Raw genomic sequence first — 16,163 nt, forward strand, 5'->3', positions numbered from 1 at the left:
GTCTAATGTTAACTAAAAACCTGTGACCTGATGAGGATTTTGATAACTCCTCTACCATATTTGTTTACCTGGCTCTATTTCGAATCAATTTTTTTATATTCTTGGCAGTGTCTGACCACGGATTGTGTGTGAGAATAAAATCAATGGCTACACTTACTGAATGTAAAAGAAAGACGAGTTTTTCACTATTCCTTGGAGAATCATCTCATCTTGCCTTAGTCTTCATGATAAAGCAAAGTAAAAAATATGGGCAATTATCTTGATAATACAGATCCACTACACACACACACACACACACACGCACACACACACACACGCACACACGCACACACACACATTATTGATTTTTAAAGCAGTTTGGGGTCCTAAATGTCTAACATTAGCTCTCTGTATTGATTATCCACAGTGAAAGAAATTGTTTCTCTCTTCTACAGACTTTCCCTGTAGAGAAGAAATTATGATTACATTCAAAAGTCCTGGGCAGATCTCACAAGGCTTACTGTGAGATATGCTAGGTAAAAATACTGTGCGGTTGATTGCAGGAAATAAATATGAGAGTTGATGTAGTATTTGCAGAGGAAGCTTGGCTGTTATTGACAAATGCATCTTGTTAAGAGAAAGAAACCTGCTATTTCAAATGGAAGAGAGAAACAGCAGACCGTACATAAAGAATAGGTAACTCAGTTTATTAGAAAGAATGCCTGGAGACTTTACAATTCCCACTAAAGGACACAGTGTTGATATTCCCCTCACAGTTTAGTTGGCTTGTATTTTAGAGTTTCATCACTGGAGTAGAGAGAAAGCTATTCAAAATGTTCTCCAGTGAAAGAACTGCAATTTTTGCCTCTCAAAGTTTTTATTTTGATGTTCTTTATTCATTTATGTATATGGAAAACTTTATAATTAAATGATATTACGATATCTTTTTTGGTATATATGGCATTGTAACCAAGTAAAACATTAAATGAGCAACTGAAATAATTATGCAGTTATTACAGCTATTGTGTGAGTATGTTATTTGTGGATGTATCATTGTGATTAAACCTTCCTAATTAAATTAATGCAGAAGATTAAATACAAACAGTAACCAAAAAAATAAGAGCTACATCTCCCCAAATTCCTGACCTTGATTGTATGTCTCGTGGAAGAATATCAAATGTCAGTTCTCAAAAAAAAAAGAAAAGACTTAGATAAAGAATGTAAGAAAAAAAGGAAGGAAGGAAAAGAAAAGAAAAAACAAATATCTCAGAAATGTTATGAATTTTACATCTTAGTTATATTATTAGAAATGACACCACTTCTTGAGAAGATGTATCAGATTCTGAAAACCATTTATGAAATTTTTCAAGTAGTCTTCTGCAGGACTCTCATCTTATTTCATTAAACCGTCATTTCAAATTTAGTATTTTAGTACCACTTCCATGATTTTTGCCACAACTGCACATCATTAAAAAATATTGACTTGTTTATTATTTATGTATGTATTGATGTGTATACATGTATAAATTCATACATATTTTTAAAGAAAACTTTCATTAGCTCTTTATATGGGAAATCATTATGTTTAAATATACATCTAAGCAACGCATTTTATTAAAATTAAAAAATTTGTATTCATGTTCCATTTACAATGATAGTTCCTCATTTATAGAATTGAGATAATACTATCGCCTATGTAACACATGTTGCTTACATCATCATTATCAAAATAAAAGCCTAAGTTTTCCTTATAAACTTTTTGAGCACGATATTAAAGCTAGGTTTGCTTCAATCAATAGTATGTATCCCAGATTGTGAAATAGTCATCCAGAAGCCACCATTTGGCTGGGTTGCAATTCAACTTCTATTTTATGTATATTTTATGTATCAAAGAGTGTTTCTTAAGCCTAAAATTCCACTGTCGTTTGTATATCAAATATAATAATAAGCCTGGTATGTCATTTCTTATTTTCAAGTGTTATGGCACTATAACACTCTAGATATAGAGGTGTCCTATTTTGTATCCATGTAACATGCTGTTTATGGATTACGCAGCATCCCATCATCATTTTGGAAACAGTACTTTACTTTACACTAAAACAGAATGTCACAGAGGATTTCTGGAATGATAAGTACCATTAAAATACAATAAACATATTTTTAAGGCTAGAGCATTTAGAAAAATATTGGCTTATTTTTGTATATCAATCTAAGTAATCTGATTGAAGTTAATAGGATATATTTGCAGTAAGCTTAATATTGCTTTGTTACACCTAAAAAAGTAATCGAACAACAAGTACCATATTTACAGGAAGTAGTGCCTCATCCTCCTGAGTGGTTCAACTCACAAAACACATTTTGAGAAGAAAATAGGCTTTGCCTAAATAACTCTTGTTTTCCTTACCCCTGCTTGTAAACTGTGAGTGTTGCTCACTAAGTAGAGCATGCTTTGGCCTTTCCAGCACATGCAGTTCTACTAAATAAGCAGCTTTATGTTTAATGAAGTAGGCCTTGCATTTCTATATCTTCTAGGACAAGTTTAGATTTAACTTTTTTTTTTTTTTTTTTTTTTTTTTTTGAGATGGAGTCTTCCTATGTCGCCCAGGCTGAAGTGCAGTGGCACGGTCTCAACTCGAAGCAACCTCCACCTCCCAGGTTCAAACGAGTATCCTACCTCAGCCTCCCATGTAGCTGGGATTACAGGCATGCGCCACCATGCTCAGCTAATTTTTGTGTTTTTAGTAGAGACGGAGTTTCACCATGTTGGCCAGGCTGGCCTTGAGCTCCTGACCTCAGATGATCCACCTGCCTCGGCCACCCAAAGTGCAGGTTTATCTTTTCTAAATCTTTTTTCTTCTTTTTAATAAAGACAGGGATAGAGCTATTAGGGTAGAGCCCACCTGTAACAAAACCACAAAGAACTGGAGCTGAGAGAGCTGCCTGGTCCATTTTCTTCTATTTGCAAAGTAGTGGTAACCATTTCAAGATAGTAACAATAACAAAAATTCATGTAAATTCTATTTTTTAATTAAATTCCCAAATTCTTACCCCTTTTTAAATAAAGTTGTATAAAGTTGCTTAAAGCTGAGTTAGTTGTTTGTTCGTTTTAAACACCAAAGGATTATTGAAGAGAGAAATTTTTTGTTCTACAATACAAACATCTGCTTTGAATATTTAGATGATTAAACTTCAGTAACTAAGTGGAATCTGAGGATTAATGAGCCCCTTAAGGTGTTATCACCGTATATATGTTATTTACATGTCTCTGCCTTTTCAACTAAAGTATGGACAACACTAGGACAAAGGAATTTCATCTCTTTTGGTTCAAGAATATCTTATTTTCCAGCACAACAGACATAGGGCCTGACAACTATTCAACATTTTCTGAAAATATTTAAGACATGAAACACAAGGCTTAATGGCACAAAAATGGAAAACTGATATCAAAATTAAAATTATTCATTAAATGCCTCCAAATGTGACATGATATCTACAAGTCACTTCCAGATTTTAAAAAATCACAAAACTCAAAATTCTAAGTTATTTTAAAAGTGATGTCTGCTGCATTTGTTCAGAAGTGCCTCAGGCCCAAAAATTGTTCCCAAAGACCTCACTCATGCTTCGTTTATTTGAGTTTTCTACCTGTTCTTGTGCCCCTGTTCTCTCTTCTTCCTGTTGTATCCTACATATCGTTAGCTGATTTGCTTTTCTAAAGTGCAATTTCATCACACTGCTGCCCTGCTCAGAAACAGATTGATTCTCCATTATCCACCACATCAAGTTGAAATTCCTCTCCAGACTTGACACTTCTCAATTAAATCTACCCTTGTTACATAGTCTCAAACATAGTCTCTGATTTTGCCTAACCATGAAACTTTATATCACAACTATTGTTTTTCCTTCATTTTCCTTAATTACTAATCAGAATTTTAATTCCAAGTCTCTGTTCAATTGTTCCCTTTTTTGTTTTTTTTGTTCCCTTTTCTGGCTTCTTGAAAGAGTGAAACAGTATTTCACTCTGTTGCCCAGCTGGAGTTCAGTGGTGCAATCATGGCTCACTGCAACCTCAACCTCCCAGGCTTAAGCAATATGCCTGCCTCAGCCTTCCAAGTAGCTGGCACCACAGGCACACGCCCAGCTAATTTTTTGTGTCATCATTTATTTTTTGTTGATATGTGTTCTTCCTATATTGCCCAAGGTGGCTTAAATGCCTGGCCTCAAGCAACCCTCCCTCCTGGGCCTTGCAGTGTTGGGATTACAGGTGTGACCCACCACACCCAGCTTTGCTTTGTTTCTTTTTAACTCAACAATAAATATTTTTCATTTTCCTTTTAACTGTACACTGCTCATCTTCCAACTTCTATAACTACTTCAACTCTTGTAGATACCCCTCCTCACAGTTCTATAGAAATTGGAAATCTTACCATATAGCATATAATTATAAAATGTTTAATTAGATATTGTTTCACAGGTATTAGTCTGATCTCTTCAAAAATAGTTTAAAGATGGTCCCCAACTTATAATCATTTGACTTAGATGATTTTTTTTTTACTTGATGATAGGTTTATTGGGGATTCTAAATGCATTTTTAACTCAAGGTATTTTTCGCTTACTATGGGTTTATTGAGACATATTGCCATCACAAGTTGCAGAGCATCTGTAATCTTCTTGTGTCATTCTTAGGATTTTTGCTGGGTAGGGTATTTCAAAGGCTCCTGTTTGACATATTCAGTTGTCAGTTGTCAGTGCCCTGCACTATAGGCTTCCTCCCTCCCTCCTTCCCTCCCTTCCCTCCCTCCCTTCCTTCTTTCCTTCCTTCCTTCCTTCTTTCCTTCCTTCCTTCCTTCTTTCCTTCCTTCCCTCCTCCTTCCTTCCTTCTTTTCTTCCTTCCTTTCATCATTCCTTCCTTCCTCCCTTCCTTCCTCTCTCTTCCTTCTTTCTTCCTTCCTTCCTCCCTCCCTCCTTCCCTCCCTCCCTTCTTTCCTTCCTCCTTTCCTCCCTCCCTTGTTTGTTTCCTTCCTTCCTTCCTCTTCCTTCCCCTTCTTTCCTTCCTTTCTTCTTTCCTCTCTCTTTTCTTCTTTCTTTATCTTTCTTTCTTTTCTTTCTCTCTCTCTCTTTCTTTCTTTCTTTCTCTCTTTCTTCTCTTTCTTCTTTCTAATAGAAATGAGGTCTTCCTATGTTGCTCAGGCTTGTCTCAAACTCCTGGCCTCAAGCAATCCTCTGCCTTGGCCTCCCCAGATGCTGGGATTACAAGCATGAATCATCACCCCCAGCCCTGTAATCTTTTTTAAAAGAGTCTGTTCCTTGTATTTCTTTTTCCTACAATGCACACTATAGTTAGCACATATTAAGCAAATGGTAAGTGGTTATTTACTTATTTTTAAATCTCAACTTAGAAAGTGTCTACTCTTAACACTATCTCCCTGATGGCTTTGGCTTTTATGTAGTCAGGTTTACTAGATTTTAAGGAGAAAGTTAACCCCTTATATGAAACTGGAACCTTATATGAAAATAAAACTACTTGCACGAAAATTATTAATTCTAATGATTAAGGTTCTTCAACAGCCCATGAGTAGGGGATTTCCTCCTAAGAGTATAAAGTGCATTGAGATATGAGAAATATGTGTGCAGTATTATGGATAATACTTTTTCACTGTGGGCCAACCTACAGATACACACATGAATGTTGTCTCTTCACAATATTTCCCTCAGAAAGCTATATGCTTAGTCTGTCAGTACTGCTGCACTTAAAATATGTTCACAACCCTGCTGTAGAAATTCCCTTTGAACTCTTGGCCACTTGTTTAAATATTCAAGGTGGTAGCAAATTGTTACACTGAAGGTGATTATTGGAAATAAGTAAGAGTAGAAAAATAAATTAATGGATAACATTTTTAGTCAAAAATTAGGTGCATAACTTGTACACAACTAATTTTTCTTATATTGTTCATAAAATAACTATAAATGCATTTCTAAATGAACGTTGAAAATACCATTAGCAAAGGGAGCACACAAATGAATTCTTTTGTGCCTCTTCAATAGGACCATATTGAAGAGTCCAAATGTATTTGGGTATATTATACCCATTACTTAGTTCAGGTGGTGTATTATGAACGAGCAGAGTCAGAAAACAGAACTATTCAACTTCTATATGATAGGTAATGAAAATTGCATTTCATCTAGAATGGTTAAGGCAAGCATGATTTAGAATTTATTAAAACAAAGATAATTAACACATTATAGAAGGACACAGTTATTGAGAGAGGTAGAAATTAGTGCACTGATTGATTTGCTCATAGTTTAGATGTGGGTTGTGAAAAAAATAGAGTAGTCAGTATGTTTATAAGGTTTTTGACCCAAGGAACTGAAAGAACAGACTTGAGGAAAACTGTAGACAAAATACTTCTGGAGATAAACTAAAGATCTCTGTTTTGGAAATGTTATTTTTGAAATGCCTGTAGACGTGTAAGTGGAGAGGTTGATTGGCAGTTGCAGAAGTTTGAGGTCTAAGAGGGAGACCTAGATTTGGAGTAATTAGTATATAATGGCCTTGGTGACTGTATTATTTCACCAAGGAAGAGAGCATAGATAAAATGGAGATGAGGTCCAATGTCAAGAAAAAGGAGAAGTATTTCAACATTTAGAGTTAGGAAGAAAAGGCAGAATTAACAAAAGGAGCCAAAAATGGAAGCTTAGCCTTGGACCATTCATTCTTCATAATGGCAGAGAAGGAAAGGCTCCAAGTACAAACTGGAACAGATGGGTCCATGTGGTGGTAACATATAATCATCACAATGATTTCTTAAGATAGACAGTCACATTTCATTCCTTCTAAAATGAAGAAACTGAGGCAGTAACAAGTAACTTGCTTAAGATCAGATAGCTGGAAAATAACTGAGCCTGAATTTGAAACCAGTCATCTGATTTCATGGCCTACAGGCTCAACCACTATTTTAATAGAAATATAAGTTGAGCACAAGGTCAGGTCTCATGTACTGTTTTCTCAGTCCTGGATAACACATTTTAAGAACATCATTGACAATCCAGAGGCCACTGAGAACACAACTGAAATGGCAAAGGACTTGGAACTCTGTCCATATGCAGCATAGATAACGAAGCACTGAAGATTGTCTCTCTTAGACCTTTTTATCTTCAAAGCCACAGATCAGATGGAATATAGTTGCTTGTGTTAAATAATGTAAGAATAAAATAACTATAGTTTTAAGTAATATTTGAGAAACCTGGGGGTAAATGTGGGCAGAACTAGAGAAGAGGGGCCTGAAAAAGAGCCTAGCTACTACAGAAATATAACTCACCTGAAAGATTTGAAAGTCTATCATTTCAAAGAAAGCTTAGACTTACACTGTGTTGCTTCCAGCAGAAGATCAATGACGAACTTGTGGAAGCTTCAAAGAATATGTTAGTTCTACTTGCTTACCTTAGTGACCCTAATGTGAAAAATGTTCACTCTAAAGAAATTTTGCTGCATAACTATTCAAAAATGGAACCAATGACTTGTTACTAGTGTCTCTTCAGAGGTAGGTAACCTGGTAAAAAAGAAAGAACTTCAGATTTGGAATCAAATGAGAACCAGTTCCATTATTTTTGGTAGAATGACCTAAAACTGACTCCTCAACTTCTCTGAGCCTCAGTTTCCTCACTTATAAAGTGGCTGTAATGATATCCATCTTTCAAATTCCTATGAGAACTATTATGTGTGAAATAAGAACAGTGGTTTTTTTTTTTTTTTTTTCATGTTTCTGTTTGTTTTTTCTCTCATTCCAACCTCTCCATCACTAGGAATGTTTGTTAAACTCTGTTTAGGCTAGTACAGGCACATGTCTGGAATGCTGCAAAAAGGGATTTGGGTTCCGAGTGTGAGGCTGATTAAATGGATTAGGATGTATATTATAACTCCATGTTGCTATAGAACTAAGATTAAAAGGATGGATGTTGGTGGAAGCCAGTCTTTGGATATGATTACCTAAGTTTCCAATATGTCAGTTATATGACCTTGGGCACAATCACCTGTGTATGCCACAGTTTCTTCAATATGATCATCATAGTACCAAAGGGGCATACTCATTGAGATCATTAAATGAGAAAATGCATTCGGAATGAGTAGCAAAGTGCCTGTCATCTAATAAACACTCAATGAATGGGAACTATGTCTATTCTTAGAAATTGCTCTCTGGGTTAAGAGTCTATCTCTTTAATGTGTTGTTCCACTTCCTGAGGAGGTTCTGCTACTTTCAAGATTAAATGGAAGGCTCTCTCATGGTCCTTATAGAATCCTTTGCATTACCTTTGATGATATCCGCTCCTGTCCTTTAGAATCTCTCCAGGTTTGTTCAAATGGGACAATGAAGAGGAATTTCATTCTTTTGTACGTGCTGAGACTTTTGTCATTGGATTAGTGGAGCTAAAGAAGAATAAAGCCATTATCTTGGTGGAGGAAACTGTTATTGCTCATTATTTTCAAGTATTATGTACTTTGGTCTTTTGTGTCACAGGATAATTCTGTACCAAAGAAGCTGTATGTGCTGAAAATATAAAGAGTCATTTTTATTCACCCCATATAAAAAGGGCAACGATGAATGCCATTTTTAGAAAAGATAAAGAGTCTTTGAAGATCAGCCTTCTTTCTTTCTTTTATCTAGAAATACACATGCCAAATGAGATGCCAAGAACTTTATTTCCTGCTAAGAAGCTTAAGAAAATTAGGAACGATGGTTGAATGTAGCATTTATGGTTGAATGTAGAGAAAATACAGTATAATGAGTCGCTTTGTTCCAGGTTCCAATTTCATGTTCTGTTTTTATCTCCATCCTTATTGGCAAGAAATGTAACATGTTAGTACAGCATGGCTATAAAAATAATGGGCCATACTTTTTTTATACATACTTTAAGTTCTGGGATACATGTGCAGAACATGCAGGTTTGTTACATAGGTATACATGTGCCATGGTGGTTTGCTGCACCCATCAACCCATCATCTGTATTAGGTATTTCTCCTAATGTTATCTCTCCCCTAGCCCCTCACCCCCTGACAGGCCCCAGTGTGTGATGTTCCCCACCCTGTGCCCATGTGCTCTCATTGTTCACCTCCCACTTATGAGTGATAATATGTGATGCTTGGTTTTCTGTTCTTGTGTTAGTTTGCTGAGAATGATGATTTCCAGCTTCATCCATGTCCCTGCAAAGGACATGAACTATCCTTTTTATATCACATTTTCTTTATCCAGTCTATCATTGAAGGGCATAGTTCAAACATTGTGGAAGACAGTGTGGCGATTCCTCAAGGATCTAGAACCAGAAATAACCATTTGAACCAGCAATCCCATTACTGGTTATATACCCAAAGGATTATAAATCATTCTACTGTGAAGACACGTGCACACGTATGTTTATTGCAGCACTTTTCACAATAGCAAAGACTTGGAACCAACCCAAATGGGCCATACTTTTAAGTCATTTACTTTTACCAACATATATGTTTTACTTGCTTTCAATGTCTTTGAAGACACAAAATAAAAAAATAGCAAAATAACTTTCCTATATAGTATGTTTTAAGGAAAGTAGACAACAGTGCTCAGTTAGATAGGCATGGTGGTAAATAGGACCATATCTCAATTACTTCAGGATCTGAAATAGTGCTGGAGAAACCTTCCTCTCCTGACCTTCAGCATCTGTAAGAACAAATTTGGGAAGAGATGCTCAAATGCTCACTAACCTGTGCCTTGACTCTATTTTCTGGTTTTCTTCCCTTTCTTAACTCTATTAGTGAAATTAAAATTAGCATTGAAATCAAGTAAGCCTTGACTCCAAATTACTATTGCTAGAACTTTAATATTCATCCATTAAGATAAGATTATGCTATTTAGGAGGCTGAGGCAGTAGAATTGCTTGAGCACATGAGTTCCAGACTAGCCTGGGCAGCATAGCCAAACCCAGTCTCAAAAAAGAAAAAAATTAAGAGGATGTCAATCTCTTTGAACAGATACACAAAATAGTAGCACAGCAGCACAGGCACTAGTCACAATCTTTTTTTTTTCTATCTAAAACTTCTTTTGCAACAAGAAACACCCTGATACAGAGGATGCTCAAATATTTTTATAATCACAGATCCCATTCACATAGTGGAAGAGAATCATTCCAGAAAAATCTATTCCAAAGTAAATTTCTACAGTGCACACTCTGTTTCCCATTGACTTACTTTGGTGGAAATATTTATTCTTCAATGTAATGAGTCATATTAAGACAGAGGCAACACATTAAAATGTTATATGCTTCAATGAGAAAAATATTTCTGATAAAAAACATTAATGTTAAAAATAAAAATATCACAAGGCATTCACATCACAAGACAAAAATAATACTGAGTTTCCTGTGAAACGGAAAGTAATAATTTGCTGATACTGTTCCTGCTGAAGAGAAGGAAAACCTCCAAAGACTTAGTTATTTGGATGCTTTTTAAATTAACTTTGGATCAACTTAACATTTATAAATTTGTTACCAAATTTCTTTACATTTTAAAATATTTATCTCATTTTGTACTGTCTAAGGTCTTTCTAAATGTAGTACTAAGTCCTGTACAGTTTTGAACGGGAGTTAATAGCTGTTGCAATAATAGCCAAGAGTTTTCAAAGATATTTATTGCCAAGCACAGTTATAATTTCATTTAATACATCAGAAAATGTCTTTACTTGATTTGGATTAATGAATGAAGCTTTGACAGGTGGTAGAATTCTACTTTCTAAGATATTTTTACAGATAACTTTGGCAGTTCATTTTCACTATCTTTTGAATTAAGATTAACACTAATAAAAAATGCATTCTTTCTATTGTATTTTAGAATGTTCTCTCTATTATTGATCCTGTACTTGATTTCATTATAATGTGCCTTGGTATGGGGCTTTGGGTGATTTTTTTAAAAGCCTGGTCAGCACTCTGGGATACTGTATTCAAATTAAAGACTCAGATACTTTATTAATTCTGGTAAGATCTCAGCTATCATATCTCCAAAGATTGGCTTATCACCATTTTCTCTATACTTTCCTTTTATAGCTCCTACTAGTCTTATGTTGGAGCTTCTGGATGAGTTCATTTATGTTTCTTAATATTTCTAATAATATCTTTTCCTTTTTTGAACGGAATCCTAGGCATTTCTTCAACTTAATGTTTGTTTTAGTTCAGGCTTCAGTTATATCCGTTATTCCAGTTGGCTCATCATTTGAACTTTTATTTTAATTGCCATATTTTTAATTTACATGCTTTAATGGGTTTTTACAACCACCTAAATAGTTTTAATTACTCTATTTATGCTTTTTACTCTTTAATCTGTTTGGAAATGTTAATTATATGTAAACCAAAGTCCTTTCAGATGGCAATAGAGCGAAGTGACAAAGAATGTAGACACTGGAGTTGGATGCCTGAGTTCTAATTCTCGTTCCATCATTTAGTACCTCTTTGCTCATGTAATTATTTAATCTTCTTTCACTTTTCTCATCCATAAGAGGGCAAAAATAGTAGTGCCTATCGCATAGGGTTGTAAGGGCAATAATGAGAAATAATTGCAAAGCATTTAGTACCATACCTGGTGCATAATTTGTGCTCATAAATAGCTGCTATTGTTGTAATGATTAGCATTCTGATTACTATTTCCTCAAAGGCAAGATTTAATGACATTTGTTTTATCTGTGTGTTTGCTAAATTTTGCTCATTAAATCATCTTCCCCGGGAGAATTTTCCTGCAAGCATCATGGGTTGTAATCACCTCATAATGCAGCAGGTGTTTGGAAGATTCAGCCCCAAACTTCTAGCGGGGAGTGGCTATATTCATGTCTTGCTCAAAGATACTTAGTTAAGGGATCCAACTGTGTTTGGATGGCCAATGTTCTAGTCTTTTCCTGCAGTATGGTGTAGTGTTGTGGCCCCAGCCAGAGCAGCAACTTAACACAGACACAGATCTTGGAAATGCAGAAGGCATAATCTGATCCCCTGTTTTTGCTTAGATTCTATGACTAGAGGCACTGATAACTTTGTACCCAAAAGTGGGTGACCTTGTCTTGTTGAGGTTAAAAGGATTTGTTCTTGACAGCATGAGAGCCATTTCCTGGGATCGCTCAGAAAAGCATGAGAGAAATTTCTGGGTATTTTGGGGGAAGTGAAAACCTGGTATACTATTGATTACTACTAATGTGATGCCTTTTAAATTCAGGATAATATGATGCAGTAGAGATTCATGGTTTCACACTGCAGAAAAAAGGTATGACATTCAGATTTTCAACCAAAGAGTAAAAAATATTTTATTTTTTAATTGATGAGCAAATGATCCATGAGAATCTCATGTTTACCAAGTGGTAGATCTTCCTTGATATTTAGAACAGAAGAGATTTTGCTTTTTATGTGCATAGGGAATATTATTTGACTCAGAAGATAAAATCTTATTCCACAGCATAGTGAATAGATTTATTGTGGAATTTTGTTATAATTATTCTGGTCCTTCTCTCAGAGTTTTTCTGTTACCCTTTGCACATAATACCAAGGTTGATGCAAAATGTTAACTTACTTCTTCTCATCCAAAATCTCTCTGCTGACAAAGTTCAAATCAGACAAAAAAAGGGTGACTAAATAATGGCAATTAAAGCAAGGTAATAAGTTGCTTTAATAGTTAAAAAAATTTAATTACATACCTAAGAATGAGCCTTTTTGTCAGTGTTATAACAGAGAAAACTCTAACAGTTCAGAGATTTTTATATAGTGCTTTTACAAGCTAAACCTCAACACACAAAGCAAGCCAGACACATAAATTCCAAAGAAACTAGAATTTTTAGCCACATTTGAAGATTCCCATATGCCAATTGTTTATTTATTCATTTATTCAGGCTCTTTCTTCAGCTATAAAAATTACAGATTTCTTGTGTATTTATTATTCTTGCAAGTAGACCAATGTTACTGTTACTGGTAGGTATATTAACTTATTTGTCAAAGTTCAGGTTACATTGATGATTGTAGTTCATTCAGTAGGGTGTTTCGTTTAAGGAGAAAAACACATGATGAGATATTAAAGAGTGAGGTAATAGCAATGTCATGTTTCACTGACATCTCTGTGACCCACAAGCATTTCAGGGGTATCTGAGGTGGTGAGAGAACTGCTAATATTTAAGAGAGTGGTATAGATAGATAAGATGATATATTATCAGCTCTTCCACCACATATATATGAACTGATTATATAACATCTTATCTGTATGTGTGTGTGCATATATATATATATATATATATATATATATATATATTCCACCACTCATATAAATACATATTTACTGGTTTAGCACATTTATTTTTAAACTTAGTTCTCCTTTCTTGATTCATATTTGGTACTTCCACACTTAATTTAAGATAGCCAGCACCCTTCTGTCTTCTGGACCTGTGACCTGCTACTCCTTTAAAAGCATGACCTATTTATTCATTTCTTCCATGGAGTTCCCACCTTTCCACATTCTACCAAACTCTTGACATGGAATGTCATATAAATACCTTCTTTTCCTTCCCAATTGTTAATTCCAAGATATTAAATTACTCCCCTCTTTCTACATCTGTCAATATCACCTCTCAATCCCTGCTAGTGTTGCCTTACATCCACATGAACTCATGGCTACCTTCCTATACAACTCACATAACTCAGTTTTGCTTTTCGGTTCTATTCCACTTTGAGGTCAGTGGCTTCTACATTCAAATAGATAATACCATAGACCACTTAATTTCATTGACCTCCAGCTTCTTTCATGTCAAAAACATGCTGGAAAGTCCATACTTGGACTACTTGCTTTATTACTTTAATCTCTTCACTCAGTTAGTCTCCCATAAGCCCTCAACTGGAAGTTCTTCACTTTGTTACTCCAGTTCTTGATCTCTTCCTAATTCATCTACATTTGAGTCCTGTTCACTCAGAATGTCATGATTGGCTATTATAAAGTGATTCCCACTGTAAATTAAAATCTTTTACCACCTCTAAAGGCTAGTGACCACACCTGGTCACTCTAATAATCTGCTTCTTTTGTTTCCATTTCTGGACATCAGAACAACATTGAAGGAAATCATTCTTTCTGTCTATAACTCTGCCAGTCTGCCAAAACAGCCAACGTTTTATTCATTAGTTATCTCATAACCGTAACACCCAATGACCTTTGAACTTTCTTGTATGTGTTATGTCTCAACTATATTACCAGATTACCGAGGACAAAGGCTCTATTTGATACATTTCTCCATTCCCTTAAGAACTGGTATGTTTCTAACATGTAATATTGTGTTGAAATGAACGAATGAATAAATGGAAGGACGGGGAAATGATTGGATTCTCCCAAAAAACAATAAAACTTTGCTGCTCCATCTCACCTTGTTTTGCCTCACTCTAAAAGATGCACTCAAGTGATAGCACTTCTTTTAGCACTACACTGAACTAATGTCAAGCCCTGCTCAGCTCAGTCCTTTTTGCAAGTTAATTGATTTCCTGTTAACACCTGTGGTTGTACCCCCATGAGCTGGGTTAGACTACAGAAGCCAATCCAGGATCAAGAGTCAGAGAAAAATGATACATCGTATTGAGCTGAGATTACATTACCTTAGCTTTGCTTCTCAACCTGAAAAACTTGGTGATACAGATGGCATGGCTCCCAGGCTGTCCACCTCAACCTTCACGGAAATACGCCTGAATTTTATAGCCTCAGGAGTCCACATTCAAGGAGGGGTTAATGAGATCAGAGACTGCCACATACATAAGGTTTTTGAATATTATATCTTTTAGGCAGAGTAGCTGCAAAACAGGTCAGGACTCAGGGGTCCCCTTTTTTATCTACAAAACGATTACTTTGCTATACCATGGTTATGTGTTTCACTTTTTATTACCTCCTAAGTGCAACAGGCCTTCCCACAGCCACATATATCGGATTTCACTCCTCTAAAATAGGCAATAAATGTATCTTTAATTTTATTTACTTCTATTGTGCCTCAAAGAATGTTCTGCTTGCATCTGACATTCAGAAAAATATTATTTTGGTTTTCCTTTGCCAAGTAGTTATTTTCTCAATGCTCTTCTCTGTATTTTTATGAAAATGGACAGTCTTTCAAACACAAAAGTTAACTGAAATCCTTCAATGTTGCTGCTGGATACACCTCACAATATTATTCACAGGCAAAAAGGCCACTGGAAAATTCTTCTGGCTCTCCCAGAAAAAGGTGACCTTCCTTCTCTTAGTCCTTTTCCTTCCTTCCAAGTAAATTTCTGATAGGACCCAAGACTACTGCTTCTTGTAAGATTGTTTGCACCACAACCCTACCATGGAGTTAAAGATCACAGCTAACATGAAATCAGTCACATGCAGTAATGAATTTAGTTTTAGTCTCAAATCCAAAGGTCAACATCCAAACTTCCTGACATATGATATATAGAGCCATCCACTGCTCACCCACCTTGTTGTAAAAAAAATGGTATGGTGTATTATCAAGCAGAGCGATGGAATCATTCAAAACTATACTTGAACTCTAGTTTTTCCTATTACCTGTGAAACTTTAAATATTCAATCTCCTAGTGCTTCAGTTTCCTCATCTGAAGATGCTAATAACACAAACTACCTCACAAGATTTTCATATTATATGTAATTGTATGTAAAGCATCTAGAAAATAGTAAGAGTTCAATAAATGGCAGTAATCAACCTTTTTTAAAAAAATTTAACTTCAAGGGATGGAAAAAGTAATCAAAAGTTGGCCTGCAAATCCCAGCTCTCAAGTGCTGGGGAAGAATCCTTTAAAGCTAACAGCAACAGATTGCTGCTCTCTTTGGAACATGGTCCTTCTGTTCATCTGTCTCATGGAGGAGTACCATGCGTGGCTATGCTATACTTAACCAAGTGAAAACATAAAGTGATGTTCAAAACTGGTCATAACTGGCCTATATATAGCTTTTGCCAGAAGGTCCCCAAAGTTCTTAATTGAACGTCTTCTCAAATACTGCATACATCCATAATATTGCGCTGACACTGAGCATGTCTCTCAAAGTGTTTTAACAAATAGAATTTCGATGAACATTTCCTAAATATACCTTCAGTTTCATAAAGTCAAGGCATGAATTGGTGGGGGGGCGGGGGGTAAGTCCTGATCTCTCTCTTGTAATCATTGTGCTT

General features: G+C 35.5%; 1 protein-coding gene across 4 annotated transcripts in view; it reads left to right on the top strand.

The window, feature by feature from the left end:
- Nucleotides 1-16,163, top strand: part of GABRB1 (gamma-aminobutyric acid type A receptor subunit beta1) — a 432,801-nt gene that overhangs the window by 176,456 nt on the left and 240,182 nt on the right. Inside the window, exon 5 of one of the 4 annotated variants that reach the window (XM_017007986.3) lies at nt 2,561-3,062. The exons of the other annotated variants lie outside the window; for them this stretch is intronic. Within the exon in view, the coding sequence (XP_016863475.1) occupies nt 2,561-2,843 (283 nt within the window). The 3' untranslated portion in view covers nt 2,844-3,062. Of the gene's footprint in view, nt 1-2,560; nt 3,063-16,163 lie in introns of those variants that run through there. 4 annotated transcript variants of the gene reach the window in all.

Source organism: Homo sapiens, chromosome 4 (assembly GCF_000001405.40).
Source record: "Homo sapiens chromosome 4, GRCh38.p14 Primary Assembly".
NCBI lineage: Eukaryota > Metazoa > Chordata > Mammalia > Primates > Hominidae > Homo > Homo sapiens.